This window comes from Homo sapiens, chromosome 10 (assembly GCF_000001405.40).
Source record: "Homo sapiens chromosome 10, GRCh38.p14 Primary Assembly".
Taxonomy (NCBI): domain Eukaryota; kingdom Metazoa; phylum Chordata; class Mammalia; order Primates; family Hominidae; genus Homo; species Homo sapiens.
In genome coordinates, this window is record NC_000010.11 from 91,827,271 (window position 1) to 91,848,368 (window position 21,098).

A 21,098-nucleotide genomic window follows, 5' to 3' on the forward strand; every position below is an offset into this window, starting at 1 on the left:
GTTTGTTTTTAGAAATGTTTAAATAATAGAATATTTTTCTTAGCCATGGGCATCCACTGTTGTTTAGCATATTTAATAATTTGGAAGTTTCTACTTAAGATGCTATGAAAAGAAAATATGTTTGTATTAATTTTTTCAAGTCAAGTTATATGCTTTTTATATGTGCTGTATTAGACTTATTAGATGGTATGCCTTTGAAATGAAAGCATTTGTTTTGCTTTCATCTTTGATATGATTTTTCTGTTTAATCTATGAAGCTTATGAATTTGTGAAGTTAAAGCTTCATAAGATTGCCATCTTGTAAACAGTCTCCAGATCTTAACATCTGATATTGTTGGCACCTGGGCCAAGTTCGGTTTTCTGTCTATAGCTGAAGTAGATGTAGTGAGAAATAACCACCTAGTTTGGATATGGTATTAGTGCATACAAGTAAGCAACTTATATTGGATTTATATTATCCTGGAATAATAAAGAATGATTGGTAGTTCCACAAGTCTGATGAGTAAAAGAGAATCTTAAGGAAAACCTCTTTTATTTTTTCATCATCATAGGTGGCTTTTGCAAATATCCAACTTGTCTAGTTCCCAGTTCCCTGATGGTTTGAGCAAAGCTGTCTGCTATAGCCATGATGTCAGTGTAGAGATCACTATTTCTTTACAGAGAAAAATTTTTGTGCTTGAAATATTCTAAAACCTCTCCAGTCTAGGAAGATATTGTAGTACTCCAGATATCCCAAAATGAATTACGAATTAAAACAGACCATGAATCTGCCGTGGGCTAAACCTGTGTATACTCTTGAGGCCATATGTCTATACAGTTGCACCGTAACTTAGGGGAACTGGAGTACCACTGTCTGTTTTCAGGGGTTAAATTTGGAGAATATCTTTAGAGCCTCAATCTGGCTATTTTGGAAGATTATTTTGAAAATAATTTCAAGGAAAATACTAGATGTCTTTTAGATAAGGCTTTTCAATTTGAACTCGTTATACATGTAAATGCTTTTTCTTCATCTAGATGAATTTAAAGGCCACTCGTTGCTGCAAGCTGCACGAGAAGCTGATGTTACTCGAATCAAAAAACATCTCTCTCTGGAAATGGTGAATTTCAAGCATCCTCAAACACATGAAACAGCATTGGTAATGTTTCAGATTTAAGTTTTTAAAATACAATAACGAAGAACGTGCTAAACTAATCATAATATCCTACTTTTAGAACTAGCATTTTTTTGAGTCTATAGTTTTAAAAAATTACTGCCTATGCAAATATTTTTTAAAAATTTAAACAGTACCAAAAAATAGACAACCTCACCCTGCAGAAGCCAATGCTATTATCAGTTCGAGAATCCTCAGAAAAAAAAAATTATTCATATTCTGACATGTATTATATGTAATGCTTTTATTATCATAAGTGATACATATAGTTTGCCTTTTTAGGGGTTATAAAAATGAATGCTTAGGTTAGAAAATTTGGAACCCAATGAAAATAATGAAAAATAAAATAAATACCACCATCCAGATGAAAACACTTGGTGTAGTCCCTTCCTTCTTCAAAATTAGATCTAGAATGTGAATAAAGTATTTTAGAGGTTACTTCCCTGATAGGGGTAATAATAACTGTGGAACTATGACAAAGTAGATGTGAGTAGAGAAGTCTAACGAAAAACAGAAAAGAATGGAAGCTAATAGGGATACATGATAAAAGATAAGAGAGGGAATGGTAAAATCAGGGGCTACCTTAAAATTGAAAGGTAGAAAAAAAGAAACTTAAAGGTAGAAATTTAAAAGGAAGAAAGTAAATCCTGTTGCGTGAGTTGCAGAATGTGCTTCAGGTGAGAGAAGATAAGTAAGTTAATGTGTGTAGAAGCAGATTTAACTGATGGTAGCCTTACTTACCTAATATCTTTTATGAGAAGTTTTTTGCCTTATGCCATAATGTAAACTATGAAATTTATGTAGAAACCTACCTATAAAGCATTTTGGACCTTTTTACTGCTTGTAAGAAACTTCTAAATTTAAAAAAAAAAAATAGCAAAGCTGTAGACTAATAAGAAATGCTAGTACAAAATTAAAACCACAACAGCATTAAAACTGTACAAAGAAACATGGAAAGACTGACATGGAAAATTCTGGTCATAACTACTGTGAAGCAACTCGTTTTTGTAATTAACCTTAAAACACACTAGGAGTTGTGTTGGTGAGTAGTTATGGTGCAGTAGCAGTTTCTTACAGGTTCCCAGAGATTTACAGGCCCTGCTCCAAGATGGTGCAGAGGAGTAGGGTGTAATTTGAGGTGGATGTGATTTTTAAAAAAAGTCTTTAAAAAACCATGTCTGGTCTCTGCGCTCTCATGATAGGTGTCCTGGGATGATTACCCTTAACCTACCAAAGGAACTATGTTCTCCAATTAGAATTGGTTTTATTTAGAGTAAAGGAATGATTTTGGTGACAGCAACATCAAAGAATGGATCTGCAGCAAAGTCATGAGGATCTGATAAGCTTTATGATTGATTAACAACAGGTTAAAATCAAAGAACAGATTTCATGTGTACTGTGTTTTTAGATGTATAGAGCAACTTAGCTGAAAAATTACCCAGAACTTTTATTCTATAGGTTTTCAGGTTTCAGTTTTAATTTAACATATATACATTGATTTAGTCATGTATCATTCAGACATTATTGAACACCTATTGTGCAGATATTAGGCTTAGGCTTATAACTGGCAAATCTCTACTTCCTGTCTCCTTTCCTCCTGGATACATCATAGATAGAGATGCTGCAGCCTGAAACTCCAGATTATATCATTTTCCACCACTGATTTTGCAGAGGTAATGCATGCTCCTTATTCTGCCGAAGCAACTAGTTGAGAGAGATATAAATACTGCTCAGCTGATCAGCTGTATCAGTGCTATTACCAAACAGAATCCAGAGCTGATGAGTGTTCTGTTATTTCCCTTTTTTTGTTTTTTGAGATGGAGTCTTGCTCTGTCGCCCACGCTAGAGTGCAGTGGCATGATCTCAGCTCACTGCAACCTCCACCTCCCAGGTTCAAGTGATTCTCCTGTCTCAGCCTCCCGAGTAGCTGGGATTACAGGCACGTGCCACCACGACTGGCTAATTTTTGTATTTTTATTAGAGAGGGGGTTTCACCATGTTGGCCAGGCTGGTCTTGAACTCCTGACCTCAGGTGACCCGCCTGCCTCGGCCTCCCAAAGTGCTGGGATTACAGGCCTGAGCCACTGTGCCCGGCTATATTCTGTTATTTCTTCATGTAAAGAAACCTCAACCTTTGCAAGGGTGTTTTCTTAACCTTTAAAATATTGCATGAACACAATGCTACTTGGAAACAGTTTTGAAAAGGATATTGGTCACATTAAGGTTTTCATCACACCAGTGCTAGCTTTTTCAAAGATACAGGACAACTGTAAAGTTTGATTGGAATATGTAATAATAGATATTATCTGATAGGTAGGATTTTCAGGTTCTGTCAGAATTTGGTAATTGTTGTAATTCAATCAAAAGTCAAGAGCAAAGTTGCGTCAAAAGTAAAACAAAAAGATTAAATAACTACTTGATTGTTCTTGATTGGAAACACGAATGTTCTTAAAATCAGTTATGTATAGTCCTTGATTAATGCTGCAATTTAAATTATTTAGCATTGTGCTGCTGCATCTCCATATCCCAAAAGAAAGCAAATATGTGAACTGTTGCTAAGAAAAGGAGCAAACATCAATGAAAAGACTAAAGAGTAAGTATACATTTAATGATTAAATATCATTGAGATTTTACTCTTTTGGAAAATATATTCACTGTCTGGCTGATTTTTTCTCTCTAAGATTCTTGACTCCTCTGCACGTGGCATCTGAGAAAGCTCATAATGATGTTGTTGAAGTAGTGGTGAAACATGAAGCAAAGGTATACTTCCTTTTTGGTAATCTTTGGTAATCCAATGAGTTATTTTTTATTTAGCAGGTGAAATGCCTGACTTCCTAAACTATTTACTTTCTCATAAGTATTACTTTTTTTTCCTTATAATCTATGCTTAAGAATTGTCCTGCAGGTAACCTTTTCTATATCTAATTTTTGCTAGAACATCTATGGGTTTATTCAGATACACATTCCTGTATGTCCTCCCTCCTCCATTCCTTTTAACCACAGCCCACAGGTTAAAGTTATTCTTAAGGACTTTTCTGACCTATCATCTTTTCTAATCGTCTTTTCTCACCCATATCTTCTAATTCTTGGTTGTCATGATAACTTCTGTTATTTACCCCAACCACCGTTTTTGTTTCTGTTTTACCCTCTTATTTCTGTAACTAAGCCAAAGGACTTGAACGGAAGGAAATATATTATTTAAATAATTTGACTAAAAACATAATAGCTCCCCATGTTGGTAAGTTACTGTTCTTTAGTTGGCATTTGTGCACAAAGCATTTTATTCACCAAATATGCTTTCATCAAGGCTAGAAATCATCTCTTACCCAGAAACTTTTAAAAGTACTACTCAGTAAAAGATATACATAGCATCTCAGATTGGAAGAGATGACAGTAGTCACCTAATTCAGCAGTTTTTACAGTTTTTAGCCACAGATCCTTGCCTCCTTCAAACAAAATCTTTAGTTGAAATTCAGTATACTCTATAACAGAGAAAGAATAGATGTGCTGTAGATGAAGGGAGAGGAATAGACGCTCTTCTCCTTGGATGGCCCCTGAAACGCTTCCATAAATGAAATTTGCAGAATAGTTTATTCTTACCTATCCTTTCTTGAGTTTCCATTCATTCAAGGAACGATTTAGAGTTCTCCAATTTCTTTTTGTGTTGCCTCTCTGTGTCTTAATTTCTCTTTGATTTGGGGGAATTCTTGATAATGTATAATCTTGATCTTTCCTATTGTAAATTATTGAATAAAATAAAGTTTATTTCTGCTTGACTGCTTGGCATATCTTGTCTCTCTGTTCTATATCTGTTTGTTGATTGCTGTTTTCATACTTGTGGTACATTACTTGAAGAATATCTGGATACATATTGAATTAGAGTTGTGACACTCAATGAAACAATCTTGACTAGGGTGACCAACCATTCAGTTTTGTCCAGGACTTCACGTTTTTTGGGAACACAGGACTTTCAGTGCTAAAACCAGGAAAGTCCTAGGCAAACCAGAACAAGTGGTCACCCTAATCCTAACACAAAGTGGTACCCAAATAGTTTTTTTTTTTTTAAGTGGGTATTTTTCACATTTCAGCGAGTTAGGGTATGTGAATAAATAGTTTGATTGTCCTAAGCATTTTAAATCCATTTTTCAGGCCCTGTAAGCATGGAGACTAGCTATTCATACTCTAGTTTTAGGTTCATTGAGGTCTTGATTATATTCACATTCACATATTATCCGATTCCATGAATATGAATTGGTCAGTGTCTCAAAACACACTAGTGTCCGCAGGATTGATTACTGAGGAACTTAATTTCTTAGCTATGTTGAATAATTATTTCCATAGCAGGGAGGTAGGGATAACGTTGGTGGAGTCTTACAGGTGATTTTTTTTTTATTGTGAAAAATTTCAAAGATATAACCAAGTAGAAAGAATTTTGCAGAAAATACCTGCCTACCACTTAGATACTATTACTAACATTTTACTCTAGTGTTTTATTACATATCTTTCCATTTTTTCCTCCATCCACCAATATATCTTATTTTTTCACACATTTCAAAGTAATCTGCAGACTATTCCTCCTAAATACTTCCACATGCACATCAACTAGAGTTTAATCTTTGTTTACAGTTTTTCTTTAGATGTAAAATGTGCAGTGAAATGCAGAGATCTTAAATGGATATTTGCTGAATTTTGACTAGTATATACACCTATGTAACCAAAACTCCTGTAGAGATATAGAACATTATCTCATGGCAGAAGTAGTGCACAGTCCCAGGCCGTCTCCACTTTGACAGATAACCATTTTATTTTTTCTGACATAAAAGTGCGTTCTAGGCCTTGACATACATGGAATCATACAAAATGTACGCTTTTGTGTAAGGCTTTTCCCACATTGTATAATGTTTTAGAGATTCATCCATGTATCAGTAGTTTGTTCCTTTTTATTGCTGAGTATTCCACTATGTGACTATTCCATAGTATGTGTATCTATATATTTTAGGTAATAAATAAGGGAGAAGATTAAGCCTATAGAAATAAGCATTTTAATGCTAATTTATCTCTGGCTTTGTTACTATTGTCTATCTCGGGGTTAAGCTTTACATTTCTACACTTTAGAGATCCATAAAAATAGATGAGTTCAACTTTCTTAGGCAGTGTCTAGCTCTAAATATCTGTGAATGCTTTAATGATAAACACAATTACTATTCAGCATCTCGCATTTAACCCAAAATTGAGTCTTCCTTCTGATGGTAGCCTTCATGACTTGGTAAATTTATTCTCTAGATTTGAGCAAAAATACTTGCTTTGGCATTGGATAATAGGCCTCATAAAAGAATTGAGACTTAAAAGTAGTAAAAAGTGTTAAATACATGATTGTATGGTTTTAAATTTTGCATTGCGGGCTAATTTCAATTTTTTCTGCTTTGTTAAGGTTAATGCTCTGGATAATCTTGGTCAGACTTCTCTACACAGAGCTGCATATTGTGGTCATCTACAAACCTGCCGCCTACTCCTGAGCTATGGGTGTGATCCTAACATTATATCCCTTCAGGGCTTTACTGCTTTACAGATGGGAAATGAAAATGTACAGCAACTCCTCCAAGGTATTACATGCTTCAATGAAATTGATTTTTTTAAATTAACCTTTAAAAATTTTTCACATATCAGGTATTATAGGTAGGAGTTGGTAATAAGAAAAATTGAGAATTTTTGTTTATTTCTTCTTAGGTTATTATACTTTTAATCAGCTGAATATCCTCAGTTCCCAAATGTCATTAAGTGATAATTATGATTTTTGTTCCAGTAGCATTTTCTGCCCAGTTTCTTAAGTTAAATAGATGGCTTTCAAGTTTTTATCGAGAAAGTTTTGAGAGTAAGATAAAATGGTTGCTATTTATTTTTAAAGAAAGGAATTTTTAGATCCTACATATTCAAGGCAGGTAGAATTTGTATAAGGTAGCCAACTATTTGGCTTATTGAAACATTTAGCAACTGAATACACTCATATTCATTACGTCTTAAAAGATTTAGATCAAATATCTACACACTTGGCATAGATGAAACATCTCAGCCCAGATATCTGGTCCCATAAATTTTAAAGTATTTTTGTCTACATCTCTACTTTTATTAGAATTTGATGCAGTAGCTTTGACATCTGAAAGCTCAGATGAGAAAAATGTAATAGATTAAGCTTTTCTGTCTTTAACAGTAAATCCTTGATGATCTTTATGCCTTTGTTCTGGGAACCACGTTTTGAGAAACACTGCTTGAACAGATGAAAGCAGATTGATACAACCTCCTGGAATCTACCAAAACTGTGAACTTACAAGACTGTTTTGAAGATCCCCATTACTTCCCCCATACATCACACATTCATTTCATTGTCAGTTTTTGGGATAATAACACTGGTCCTATTCAGTTGGCTAGTGATAGAATGTAAAGTCTTGTCAGTTTTATGCTAAGTACCATTACATATAGCTTTTTACTTGCCTTTCCAACTAGTTTCTTACAATAAATTATTGAAGTGGAATTTCCAGGTCAAAGGGTAGCATATAATTGTCAAATTATCTTCTGTTAATAGAAAGCTGGTATTTAGCATTTTACAGTCAGAATATATGAAAGCACCTGTTTTCTGTCAGCACTAGATGTTACAATTCTTAATATTTTCCTTGAGTGAATATGCATGTGTGAATTACAGAAGTAATAGATTTTAATGCTAACTATAAAAGTCTCATCAGTGTAGCTCTCCATTTCCTCTCTGCCTACTAGCAGATGGAAAAAAAATGATATTTAATCTGCATTTCTGATTATGAGTAAGTTTGAACATAATTTTAATGTGTTTATTGCCCATTTCTCTTTTTTTTCTTTTTTTTTTTCTTTTTTTTTCCAAGCAGGGTCTCGCACTGTCGCCCGGGCTGGAGTGCAATGGTGCAATCTCAGCTCACTGCAACCTCTGCCTCCTGGGTTCACATGGTTCTCCTGCCTCAGCCTCCCAAGTAGCTGGGATTACAGGTGCACACCACCACACCCGGCTAACTTTCTGTATTTTTAGTAGAGACAGAGTTTCACTATGTTGGCCAGACTGGTCTCAAACTCCTGACCTTGTGATCCCCCTGCCTTGGCCTCCCAAAGTGCTGGGATTACAGGCATGAGCCACCATGCCCGGCCTTTCTTTTTTTTTTTTTTTTTTTTTAATTTTTCTTTTATTTTATTTATTTATTTTTGAGATGGAGTTTCACTCTTGTCACCCAGGCTGGAGTACAGTGCTGCGATCTTGGCTCACTGCAACCTCTGCCTCCCAGGTTCAAGTGATTCTCGTGCCTCACCCTCCTGAGTAGCTGAGAGTGCGCCTAACTTTTGTATTTTTAGTAGTTACGGGGTTTTACCATGTTGCCGAGTCTGGTCTCCAACTCCTGACCTCAAGTAATCTGTCTGCCTCGGCCTCCCAAAGTGCTGGGATTACAGGCATGAGCCACCACGCCCAGCCAACCATGTCTCTTTTTTGTATGTGTGAATTTCTTGTTCATGTCTTTAGCTCATTTGTTGAAGTGTTTCAAAGTACTCCTTTCATAAGAATACCGTGTGTGTGTGTGTGTGTGTGTGTGTGTGTGTAATTTTTTTTTTTTTTTTTTTTTTTTTGAGACGAAGTTTCACTCTTGTTGCCCAGGCTAGGGTGCAATGGCGTTATCTTGGCTCACTGTAGCCTCAAATATATTCTCTTAAAAGATGCATGTTACAGTTTGGTTTTTTCCCATTTTGTTCTTGTTTAATGCTGTTATTACCTGACATATTTTTCCAAATGCCAATTTTCTTTTTTTGATGCTGCTTTTGATGTACTGTTCAAAGAAGCTTTTTTATTCCATGTTATGAAAATATTCCCCCGTTTTCTTCTAGTATTTTTAGGGTTTAATTTTTCATACTTACATCTTTAATCCATCTGGAGTTTACTTTGTTCTAAGGTGCAAGGTAGATGTTTTCCTTTTCTGACACTTTAAATGAGCTGTAAACTTAGAATTTCAGACCTGGAAATGATGTTACATTTCTACTAGTCTACCTTATGTCTTTAGAACTGAAAAAATCTGAGAACCAGGAAGTTCCAGTGACTTGTTCCAGTTCAGATAGCTAATTAATGACAGAACCACAGTTAGATTTCTGTTTGCTCTCTTAATTTAATACTTTTGCACCATTCCAATGGCTTGCTTATAGAGCAGGCCATCTTTAGTCATCTCCTTTATGTTCCTTTATATTGCTTACATCACATTTTATAATCATTATACACATTTACATATTTTGCTTATATGTGTTGTATTTCAAAGAGTTTTAAGAGAATCTTATTTTTCACTCCCCAACCCTCACCCCCCTTACTACCATGGAGATCTCGTACATAATCTACCAAATTGTAAAAGAACTTTGCTTTCTGATGAGATGCCTTCCATAAAGCTTGGTTCCATCTTCCAAATAGAGGTTAGTCACTCTTCTCTCTCTCTCTCTTTTTTAGAGGGTATCTCATTAGGTAATTCAGAGGCAGACAGACAATTGCTGGAAGCTGCAAAGGCTGGAGATGTCGAAACTGTAAAAGTAAGATACAGTGTTACGTTTCTGTTAACTTTGGGTTTTTATTTTGACATTGTTATTTAATCTGTACTGTTACAATGAAGAGCCTGGTTTATTTGTATGGGCCTTGCCTTAAAAGGTCAATAATACAATCTTAATTGTTCTCTACAAATGAGTAGCTTTAAGTAATGAAAGAGAAAGACTTCACTTTCACCTGCATCCCAGTGAATATTACATTCACAAATATAAATAAATTCGGGTAATACCAAATGGGTTTTGCTTGAAGAACCTATTCATTTGTCCCTTTAACAGAATAAAGTTTATCAAATTATTTTATATTACTGTTTACGTATGACACATAAAACAAGAAAGGGGAAAAACAGTGTATCACTTCTGTCTATAGATTTCTTCTGATTTCTTCATTTCTTCACCCCATCTACCTCTAGGGATCCAGGGCTTAGTATAATAATAAATACAATGTTGCCACTTCTCTTTCCCAGGGCTTGCAACTTCAGGTCTTACCTGTTTCTCCGACAAGAGTCTTCCCCAGAGTAACCCTTCTTACTGTTTTGACTCTTGCTGTAGAAATATGTATGTAAAACTGGGCCCAGTGGCTCACACCTGTCGGTAATCCCAGCACTTCGTGAGGCTGAGGCGGGTGGATCACCTGAGGTTAGGAGTTTCAGACCAGCCTGGCCAACATGGCGAAACCCCGTCTCTACTAAAGACACAAAAATTAGCTGGGCGTAGTGGGATGCACCTGTAATCCCAGGTACTTGGGAGGCTGAGACAGTATAGACATCTCAGATAACTTCAGATTTGTTTTCTAAATTCATTTCTCACAGAAAAATGCAACTATCATGCAGTTTTATTATTTGACATGTTTTTATTTTGATCCTCATTATTCTCATTCCCTTAAGTAGGAGGCTAATAGGATATCGAAAGGAGGATTTTGTTTCTATTACTACTGACTTGTGGAAATACAAATTACTTCAGTTAAAAGGTTGTGAACTGATTTTTTTTTCAGGAAACATGAAAATTGAGTTGAAAGCAATTAGCTGATTTTTTTTTTTTTTTTTTTTTTTTTTTTGCTGTTTGTGGGAAGGGAGAGATACAGAATTGTAAATGCTCATTCTCTTACATATATTAAAGAACATAAAACTATATTTAGTAAACATGTTAAAGACTAAACTTTGTTTTTATAAAGATAGAGGGAGTCCAGAGGAGGGGATAGATAAAGAGGAGATGAAGTTGGGGGGCAGGAAATGGACTTAGGGAACACAGTAATGCCATTGGATTCAGGAAAACCTGTGCTAGGCATCAGGCTTTCTTCCCTCCCCTCTGCTTTTAAAATCACTTGATGGACATTTATCTCCATCAGCCATTCTTCTTATCTACCTCCAGACAGATGGCTCTGTACGAATCACTGGGACAAGAACATCTGCGTATTACCTAATGAACACTTAACTATTGTGCTCAGTTGTGTTTGTTCACTGATAATCCACCAGGCTGGATACTTTATTCGACACATGCTATTAGAAAACCTATCTCAGAGTGGACAAAATTAAACTGACAGGTAAAGAGTAGAATGGCCTGTGATAACTACCAAACCAAGCAGCACCTGGTACACGTGTTAAAAATAGTCATTTCTAGGAACCTGACTTGAGACCCACTGAAATACCATCTCTTGAATGGGGCCCTGAATCTGTATATCTAGCCAGATCTTATTTGGGAAGCACAGAAGAGCTTTTTACCAGGACAATGATTAAACCCCTTGAGGTAAACCCACTGATAGTAGGCTCCTTTATTTTATTGAGCTTAGGTTATCCCTGTTTTGGGAGTAGGTTAGTAAAAAGGGGGAAAGAGTTTTTACTAATATGGATATATTCTTTTTGTTTGTTTGTTTGTTTGAGATGGAGTTTCACTCTTGTTGCCCAGGCTGGAGTGCAATTGCACGATCTCGGCTCACAGCAACCTCCACCTCCCGGGTTCAAGCAATTCTCTTTCCTCAGCCTCCCGAGTAGCTGGCATTACAGGCGCCCGCCACCACGCCCAGATAATTTTTTGTATTTTTAGTAGAGACGGTTTCACCATGTTGGCCAGGCTGGTCTCGAACTCCTGACCTCAGGTGATCCACCCGCCTGGCCTCCCAACGTGCTGGGATTACAGGCGTGAGCCACCGTGCCCGGCCTAAGATAGATATATTCTTTTGACTCTTTAAGCACTCTGATTTATTATCTATGTTGCTTTTCTTCCCCAAACTTTCATACTTTTCATAACTACACTTCCTCCTCTGAACCAAAGAGCACAGAAAATTGACTGTTTTCTTAATTCTCCCCAGGACTGTATAAACCATCAGCATTTTTTTTTCCTTTTTTCTTTTTTGGAGATGGAGTCTGGGTTGGTCACCCACGCTGGAGTGTGATGGCACGATCTCAACTCACTGCAACGTCTGCCTCCCAGGTTCAAGCGATTCTCCTGCTTGACCCTCCCAAGTAGTAGAGACAGGGTTTTGCCATGTTGGCCAGGATGGTCTCAAACTCCTGACCTCAAGTGATCTGCCCGCCTCAGCCTCCCAAAGTGCTGTGATTACAGGCATGAGCCACCACGTTCAGCCTAACCATCAGCATTCTATTAGTTATTTCATTCCACATGGAGTGGTATGGTTACTGAACCACCAGCATCAGCATCACCCAAGAACTTGTTAGAAGTGGAGATTTTTAGGCTCCACACCAGTTACACTGAAAATTTGAGGGTTGGACCCAATGCACATTAAAGTTTGAGAACCACTGCTCTAAAGGAGTACTTTTCAAACTTTAATGTGTTTCCATATTACCTAGGGATCTTGTTAAAGGGCAAATTCTGACTCAGTAGATAGAGATCTGAGATTCTGAATTCTTAATAAGCTCCTTGGTAATGCTGGTACTACCGTAATCTCATGTACCTCTATGTATATTTGCCACAAAATGCAAGTTACACTTGCTGATGATTGGCACTTAGTTTACCTGTATATATATATAGTAGCGGTAATGATAAAATTTACCCTTGAGCGTTAGAAAAAGTAGAATATAAAGGCATACGTGAGACCAGGCACGGTGGCTCACACTTGTAATCCTAGCATTTGGAAGGCCAAGGTGGGAGGATCCCTTGAGGCCAGGAGTTCAAGACCATCCTGGCCAACATGGTGAAACCCCGCCTCTACTAAAAATATAAAAATTAGCCAGGTGTCCTGGCATGTGCCTGTAGTCCCTGCTGCTCGGGAGGCTGAGGCAGGAGAATTGCTTGAACCCAGGAAACAGAGGTTGCAGTGAACTGAGATTGCGCCACTGCACCCCAGCCTGGGTAAGAGAGCTAGACTCTGTCTCAAAAAAATAATAAGACAAAAAAAAAGGGCATGGATGAGAGGACCAGAGGGATTCCCAGTAAATGACAAGGTGAAATAAGAATACTAAATAGTTTCTGAGAATACTGATTTAATGAGACAAGAAAATAAGTCAGACACTTTGAAAATTCCTACTAAATGACTTGAAACAAGAAATAACAATATGTAGATGTAGTATCATGTATGTTGTGTTTTGTCCTTCAGAAACTGTGTACTGTTCAGAGTGTCAACTGCAGAGACATTGAAGGGCGTCAGTCTACACCACTTCATTTTGCAGCTGGGTATAACAGAGTGTCCGTGGTGGAATATCTGCTACAGCATGGAGCTGATGTGCATGCTAAAGATAAAGGGTAAATGCCAATGATTGTTATGGACTCTCTTCCTTACTTTTACTTGACCTTTTTAGGAAAACCTGGAAATATAATATGTTTTATTTTTCAAGAAAGCCTGTTTCCTAACATTGGCCTAAATATTAAATAGAGCTTCTTAATTTCAATTAAGATTTTATATGGTTAGCATTCATATAAAGACTTTATTGGCATAATGCCTGAGAATTTTATAATGGCCAAGGAGATTATAACATTAGTGTGATATTGACTTTTAATGTAGTAAATTTTTCAGTTTCCATGGAGGGTTTTTTAATTCTTCCAGTTTATCTTGAAGTTATTTTTTATTAAAAATATACAATTCTAGACGTTGCATATATGGATGAATGTTATAGTCTCTGCATTTAAAACATTTTTTAAATGTTCTCCCCTGACTCACCAAAAAGAACTTATTTCTGCCTTAAATAGATTTAGGTTCTACAAAGTATAATCAGTATAATTCCTTATGTAGTTCAAGAATTATCTTTCATCAGTTATATGTAATTATTTAAATTAAAACATGTTCTTCTGTGGCATTATTGTTCATTTATTACTTTTCAGAGGCCTTGTACCTTTGCACAATGCATGTTCTTATGGACATTATGAAGTTGCAGAACTTCTTGTTAAACATGGAGCAGTAGTTAATGTAGCTGATTTATGGAAATTTACACCTTTACATGAAGCAGCAGCAAAAGGAAAATATGAAATTTGCAAACTTCTGCTCCAGGTATATTTAAATACTTAACTGTAAAGAGTATGAATTACATAGCATATGTTTATGGTTTTCTAAATAATTCTAGTATAAAGTTAAACTAGTAAGCAATGGGAAGCAATGTTACCTAATTCTGTACCTAGATTTTAGAATAAATATAATAAACATTTTATATTTTAATCCACAAGTATGTTTACTAGCACCTAGAGTTATTTTTGTCTAGAGCCAACTATCATGTGATAGTTCTCTTATTATTTTTAGTTTTTCTCTTTGGTACTTTTATATTCATCAAATATAAAAATATTTGATGAATTATTTACTTACAAGCCAGATTTATTTAGCATTGATAAAATGGATGATACTGGTTCAGTACAGATACCAGTGGATATTTTACAATAACAAGAATACAGAGATTTATACTTTATTTAAATGTTCATGAAAAGTAAAAATAGTATAACATGAAAGTTAATTTTTAATGAAATATGACTTTATTTTGAATGTAGTTTAAAATTTTGACTACATTAATGCATTAAAAAATCCAGTAATATTTAACTGCCTCTGTATTCTTTTTATAATAATTCTTTGTATAAACATTAGTAACAGTGATGTTAACCTTCAAAGTAGAGTCTCAATATAAATTTAGTTTTTCTTTGGTATAGTTAACACTGACTATTTTCTCATTGACCAAAGGCACATTTAAGCCATTTCCCCCTTTTTTTCTGTTTTTCACATGCCTAGCATGGTGCAGACCCTACAAAAAAAAACAGGGATGGAAATACTCCTTTGGATCTTGTTAAAGATGGAGATACAGATATTCAAGATCTGCTTAGGGGAGATGCAGCTTTGCTAGATGCTGCCAAGAAGGGTTGTTTAGCCAGAGTGAAGAAGTTGTCTTCTCCTGATAATGTAAATTGCCGCGATACCCAAGGCAGACATTCAACACCTTTACATTTAGCAGGTAAGTGAATGAAGTTTCACAGATTTAGGCTGGTAATATCTGAGATTCATTTTACCCAGGTAAAATATTTTCTGTAACTAAACTTTAAAAATTCAAATCAGGCCAAGCATGGTGGCTCACACTTGTAATCCCAACACTTTATGAGGCTAAGGCAGGAGGATTGCTTGAGCCCAGGAATTTGAGAGCAGCCTGGGCAACATGGCAAAACCACACCTCTATAAAAAATTACAAAAATTAGCCAGGAGTGGTGGTGTGCACCTGTAGTCCCAGCTATTCAGGAGGCTGAGGTGGGAAGATTGAGCCCAGGAGGTCACGGATGCAATAAGCCTTGATTGTGCCACTGTACTCCAGAAACAAAGTGAGACCCTGTCTCAAAAAATAAAAAAAATAAATAAAAATTCAAATCAAGTATCTTCTAATGCCACCATTATACTCTTCAGTGTATTTGTACAGGACGACCGTACTTGAAGCTATTAGCTGAGTTCGAGTTCACTTTATTACTAGTATGTTACATTCAGTAAGAACAATTGAAGTAGGCTCTGCCAGTCCCCATGTGCTTTGGGAATCATTATTCCAGGTAATCATTTTATTGGTATCACCTTTGGTAAACAAGTTTTGAAAAATATGCCTACTTGAGCCAGCCTTCCTTATAGGAAGCTAAAGCTTTCTATTTTTCCTGATGGTAGCTGCTAAGCACAAGCAGGAAAAAAAAAAAATCTCAAAACTCTCAGAAGTTACATAAGCCTCTCACCAAAGTTATCTGTTGTTTTGGTTTGTGAGAGTTCTCATAACAAAATACCAAAGACCAGGTGGCTTAAACAACAGAAATTTGTTTTCTCACAGTTCTGGAGGCTAGGAGTCCAAGTTCAAGGTGTTGGCAGAGTTGGTTTCTTCTGAAACCCCCTCTTGGCTTGCAGCTGTCTACCTTCTCAGTGTGTCCTCCATTGGAACATGGTGTCTCTTTCTATATGTCCTAGTCTCTACTTTTAAGGAAACCAGTCAAATTAGATTAGAGCCCACCCTAATGGGCTCATTTTAACTTTTTTAGCTCTTTAAAGGCTCTGTCTCCAAATAGAGTCATATTCTAAGGTACTGGGGTTAGGGCTTCAACATAAGAATTTTGCAGGGTACAATTCATTTCGTGACATTTGTTTTAAGGTTTCACTCATAAAACTGGCACAGTGTACCTTTGTTTTCAGTGCAAATATACAATATATTGTGGTTTCAGTACAGCTTTTTCAGCTGCATTACAGATGTTAGGAAATCATTAAAATCACTGAGCTATAGCTAATACCTCAGTGGAGTTCCATCATAGACACAGCGGACTCATACAAGTTTGTCTAAATATACATGATTTAAACATGGTATAAAAAGCAAGAAAAAATAATGCAAAATTTCTGCCATTTCGTGTAATGTGGGAGATGGAAATGTATGATGTTCATTTCAGTCTTGTATTATAACTTGGTGTTATACATGATTTTTACCTTTAAATTCTCACTCCATGTAAGTTGAGACCTCACTGTCCAAAGAAACCAATTACTCTATGTGTCTTTCAAGTATTTTGGAAGTGATAAGCCACAAATGCTAACATGGTGAGAAAAAGCTTTACTTCCACTGGCTATCAGGAGTTTCTAGTCCATGCAAGACAAAATATGACTTGACCTTTGATTGGAAGTTGTGCTGTGCATATTTATGTTAGCTTTTATATCTTTCTTGTAGCCTATCTAGAACACTTAACATTACTGTGTCCAAGTTGTCTTTGTAAGTCACAAATAATTTGTATGCATAAAATATTTCTGTCCACTTCTGCAGCGTTAAATACCATACCTTGAGACCTAGAAAGACTTTTAGATTAATGTAATATTTTATGGTAGTTTTATAATTGTATTCTTCTTTACTTGATCTTTTTAAATTCTTTTGCTTTAAATCCTTTAGCAAAAGGATAAAAACTATAATAGAAATAAGTTTTATTTCATGGCTTTAACAGCACCTAAGTTCCTCTACTAGACTTGCAGAGATGTGTACCTCTGAGTTCTCTCTAGCAAAAAAGCATGCTCTTGTGGCCTTCTGGGGAAGAGGACTCTGAGGCCCACTCTGGTTTGACTTGTATGTGATTGCAGACCTTTGACTTGCAGCCTCTGAGACCCATGTACCTGAGTTCAAGAAGTGGTATGTAACACCCATGAAGGCAGAGACTTTGGTAGGAAGGTTTTCATAGGAAAGATACAAGCAAATCAGTCAATATAATTTTGGGAATCTACAAAGCTAATTGATAACACAAAAAGCTTCCAACTTGAGGCAAGGGGGAAATGTTTTCCAGAAGGTAAATTGTTAATAGAGTCCAATGAGCTATTTCAGATTTATACAAAATCTCTTTTTTTATGTTTTCAGTAATGTCTATGCCTTATAAATACATATATATATGTATACATGTAATGACTTTTTTATGTTAACAAGTGGAAGTATTATGACATAGGACTAAAAAAGAAAAAACAAGTAAAGTAATTTTACTTCTTTTCTAAATTAGCTGGTTATAATAATTTAGAAGTTGCAGAGTATTTGTTACAACACGGAGCTGATGTGAATGCCCAAGACAAAGGAGGACTTATTCCTTTACATAATGCAGCATCTTACGGGGTAAGTTCTTCCGTGTTACCTTTAAAAATTTGTGGAATTTTAAAGTGAAAGTCAGTATTGCAGCTCAAATGGAATGTAGTTTGATGTTCTCATTTTACAGAGAAGTAAGTGGCAGAGCTAAAGAAGTTAAATAACTTCCAAATTTCGGTTCTGAATCTGTTCTAAGCTTGCTGTGTGATATGCGGTGTATTGTTGTTTGTTTTATTATCTGCCTTAACACCTGTCTCTTATTTTCAGTGAGATGTTGGTGATTGTGTTTATTTGTTGGTACCCAGAAAATCCACTGGGGCACCAACGGGGTAGATGGAATCTGTACAGATTCAGATGCATTGTTCCTGACTTATCATAGTCCAATGTGACATTCAAAATTGACCATCTTCAATGGTATAGTTTGAATAATTGAGGAAGATTGCTGCTTTATAAATTGACATTTAGTAGTTATAACATTTGAATAAATTAGAAATTATTGAAGTCATATTAGTCTAGTTTCCTGCTAAATAGAATTCTTAACTCTTTTCTAGATAGTTTCTCAAGTTATTGAAATGTCCACTGTAATTTTTAATCAGCTACTCATAAGTTGTGATGTTGGGGAGAAAGAGTTTTTCTTTTCATTTCCAGAATAAGTTTGAAAATGTGGAAGTAGGTACGTAACTAGTTTCATTTTAAGAAAGTAAAGTGTGACAAAATAATATTTCAGACTGTAACGGGTATTTTCTTTTACAGCATGTAGATGTAGCAGCTCTACTAATAAAGTATAATGCATGTGTCAATGCCACGGACAAATGGGCTTTCACACCTTTGCACGAAGCAGCCCAAAAGGGACGAACACAGCTTTGTGCTTTGTTGCTAGCCCATGGAGCTGACCCGACTCTTAAAAATCAGGAAGGACAAACACCTTTAGATTTAGTTTCAGTAAGTGATGGGCTTTTTGAAAAATCTCAGTGCTTTTCTGACTTGTTAAAATTCACTTGATGTTATTATAAAATGTCTTTATAGTCAATGTGAATGGCAAAATCTGGGTTTTAGCCTGATTTTAATGTAAGAGTTCTTTAGTATTAAAATATAATAGAATTATAAAGTAATATAATTATCCTTCTGTAGAATAGAATTATCAATCAGTTATTATATACTGAGTATTTTGGAAATAGGAAAAAGAAGTACATGATATAACTGCTTACGTTAGTTAGGAAACTAAACAGACCCAGGCCCTCAGAAAATGCTGTTACTTATAGTGCATACAGCGCAGATGGTACAGACCATGGGTCTTACACACGGCCCCAACTGGGAACATTGCCCCCCAAGGTGCAGCCACAAACCCTGCTGCCAGTAGAGATTCCTTTTCCTCCCACACTGCCTCATCCCAGAGTTCTTGTTGCTCACCCTACCTTAACTGTTCATGAAACAAGTCTATTATCCACTTTCCTGTGGAGGTCCTGTTTTCCTTCCCCTCTCTCCAGAGCATGGAGCAGGTGTAGGAGCTTCCACTGAACCTTCCACCTCTGCTTTGGGCACTGAAGCAGATGCCTCTCTTGCCTCTACCACTGAGGACATTGACTAGAGCAGTGGAAAGAAAGGAGGAAGGAATTCTTTTTGAGATGAGAAGGAAGGGGAATCTTTTCTGCAGACTGCTTTCTACTGAGAAAGATTACATTGTTCCACATTACAATAAGAAACTGAGGTAGTTCAGCTGCATTGGTGCTTAAGTAGGTTTTTCTCAGTCAGCTAACAACCCAGCCATATTTACAACATTATCTCTTCAGGGAAATATCTTTCTAGTTCCAAGTTACCTTAAAAGTGAACATTTGGAATTCATTCCACCCATATGTTAGTTGACCAGATACAATTAAGTTACAATGAAGCAAAATGCTGTAGAGAACATACAGGGGCTTTAGAGTCAGACAGACTGGGCCTAGAATTCCAGCTGCACGATTTAAGTTGTACAATCTTATGAACTGCCTAACCTCTAAACCTTAGTTACCTCATCTATAGATAGAGGTAAAATATATCTGGTTAGTATGAGAATTAAATGGGGTAATTTACTTAAAGTCTTTGGCATGGTATCAGGTACATAAAAAGCACTCAATAAATGGTACTATTATTATAAACAAATGTCATTTACAAATTGTGAGTGCAATGGGAATGCATAGACTGGGGGAAGAGAAAGGTGATGACTGGAATAGTCAGAACAAATGACTATGAAACAAGTACTAATTTATTCCTTGCTGAACATTAGTTGAACGTTGTGAAAGAAGAGTACATATTACAAATTAAACAAATTAATGTACCAATAAATGTGAGGACTTTTTTCCATTCTAGCAGATTTTTTTTAATTTTTATTTATTATTATTTTTTTGAGATGGAAGTCTCACTCTGTCACCCAGACTGTAGTGCAGTGGCACAATCTGGGCTCACTGCAACCTCCGCCTCCCAGGTTCAAATGATTCTGCTGCCTCAGCCTCCCGAGTAGCTGGAATTACAGGCATGCGCCACCACACCCAGCTAATAATTTTTGTATTTTCAGTAGAAATGGGGTTTCACCATGTTGGCCAGGCTGACCTCAAGTGATCGACCCACCTCGGCCTCCCAAAGTGCTGGGATTACAGGCATAAGCCACTGCACCTGGCCCCATTCTAGCAGATTTGATTAAAATGATTATCTTTTCTACCCACCTCCTCTCCAAAAAACTTTCAGTTTTAAGGAACAAATACATTGCTGAATATTTTCCAGGAAATACAAACAATTCAGTTTGCTAAAGTTCTGTGTAGGTTGAATTACTTCTTTCAGAGTAACTACAATAGGACTAAAATCTCTTACCTTTTAAAATTGATATTTCTGTAATTCGTTGTGCTTCTCAGTCACAGTATCAGAATTAGGGTTTTGTTCATGCTTTGCCATATTTAAATTATATTTTGACAATATGTGTTTTGGAAGAGATGTTCTCAGTTATGTCTTATATTTTAATAACAGTTTAGCTGGATACAGGTTGAATATCCCTTATCGGAAATGCTTAGAACCAGATGTGTTTTCGGCTTTTGGATATTTTTTTCAGATTTTGAAATATTATACTCAAGCATTATACTTACTGTTGAGCATCCCCGATCCCCAAATCTGAAATCCAAAATGCTCCAATAAACATTTCCTTTGAGCTTCACGTCAACATTTTAAAATTTTCAGATTTGGGATGTTTGACCTGTATTAACCTGTTTGCTTCACTTTTTAAAATGAATAATCCTCCATTGTGATAGTACTGGCACAAATTGCTGGGTTTTCTCATATTTTTAAATATATTTTATTAGGTATAATAGCATTTTAAAACTTGCTTATGGCAGATGTTGTCTCT

General features: G+C 36.0%; 1 protein-coding gene across 6 annotated transcripts in view; it reads left to right on the forward strand.

The window, feature by feature from the left end:
• The window catches only part of TNKS2 (tankyrase 2), a 67,050-nt gene that overhangs the window by 28,845 nt on the left and 17,107 nt on the right, over positions 1–21,098 (forward strand). For 3 of the 6 annotated variants that reach the window (XM_011540213.2, NM_025235.4, XM_017016699.2), the window contains 10 exons: positions 1,015–1,136; positions 3,653–3,744; positions 3,833–3,911; positions 6,583–6,754; positions 9,649–9,728; positions 13,291–13,436; positions 14,013–14,178; positions 14,902–15,121; positions 17,649–17,758; positions 18,482–18,670. In XM_011540213.2, the coding sequence (XP_011538515.1) occupies positions 1,015–1,136; positions 3,653–3,744; positions 3,833–3,911; positions 6,583–6,754; positions 9,649–9,728; positions 13,291–13,436; positions 14,013–14,178; positions 14,902–15,121; positions 17,649–17,758; positions 18,482–18,670 (1,376 nt within the window). Of the gene's footprint in view, positions 1–1,014; positions 1,137–3,652; positions 3,745–3,832; positions 3,912–6,582; positions 6,755–7,359; positions 7,694–8,010; positions 9,615–9,648; positions 9,729–13,290; positions 13,437–14,012; positions 14,179–14,901; positions 15,122–17,648; positions 17,759–18,481; positions 18,671–21,098 lie in introns of those variants that run through there. The other 3 variants (XM_017016701.2, XM_047425795.1, XM_017016700.3) reach the window with 2 other exon arrangements.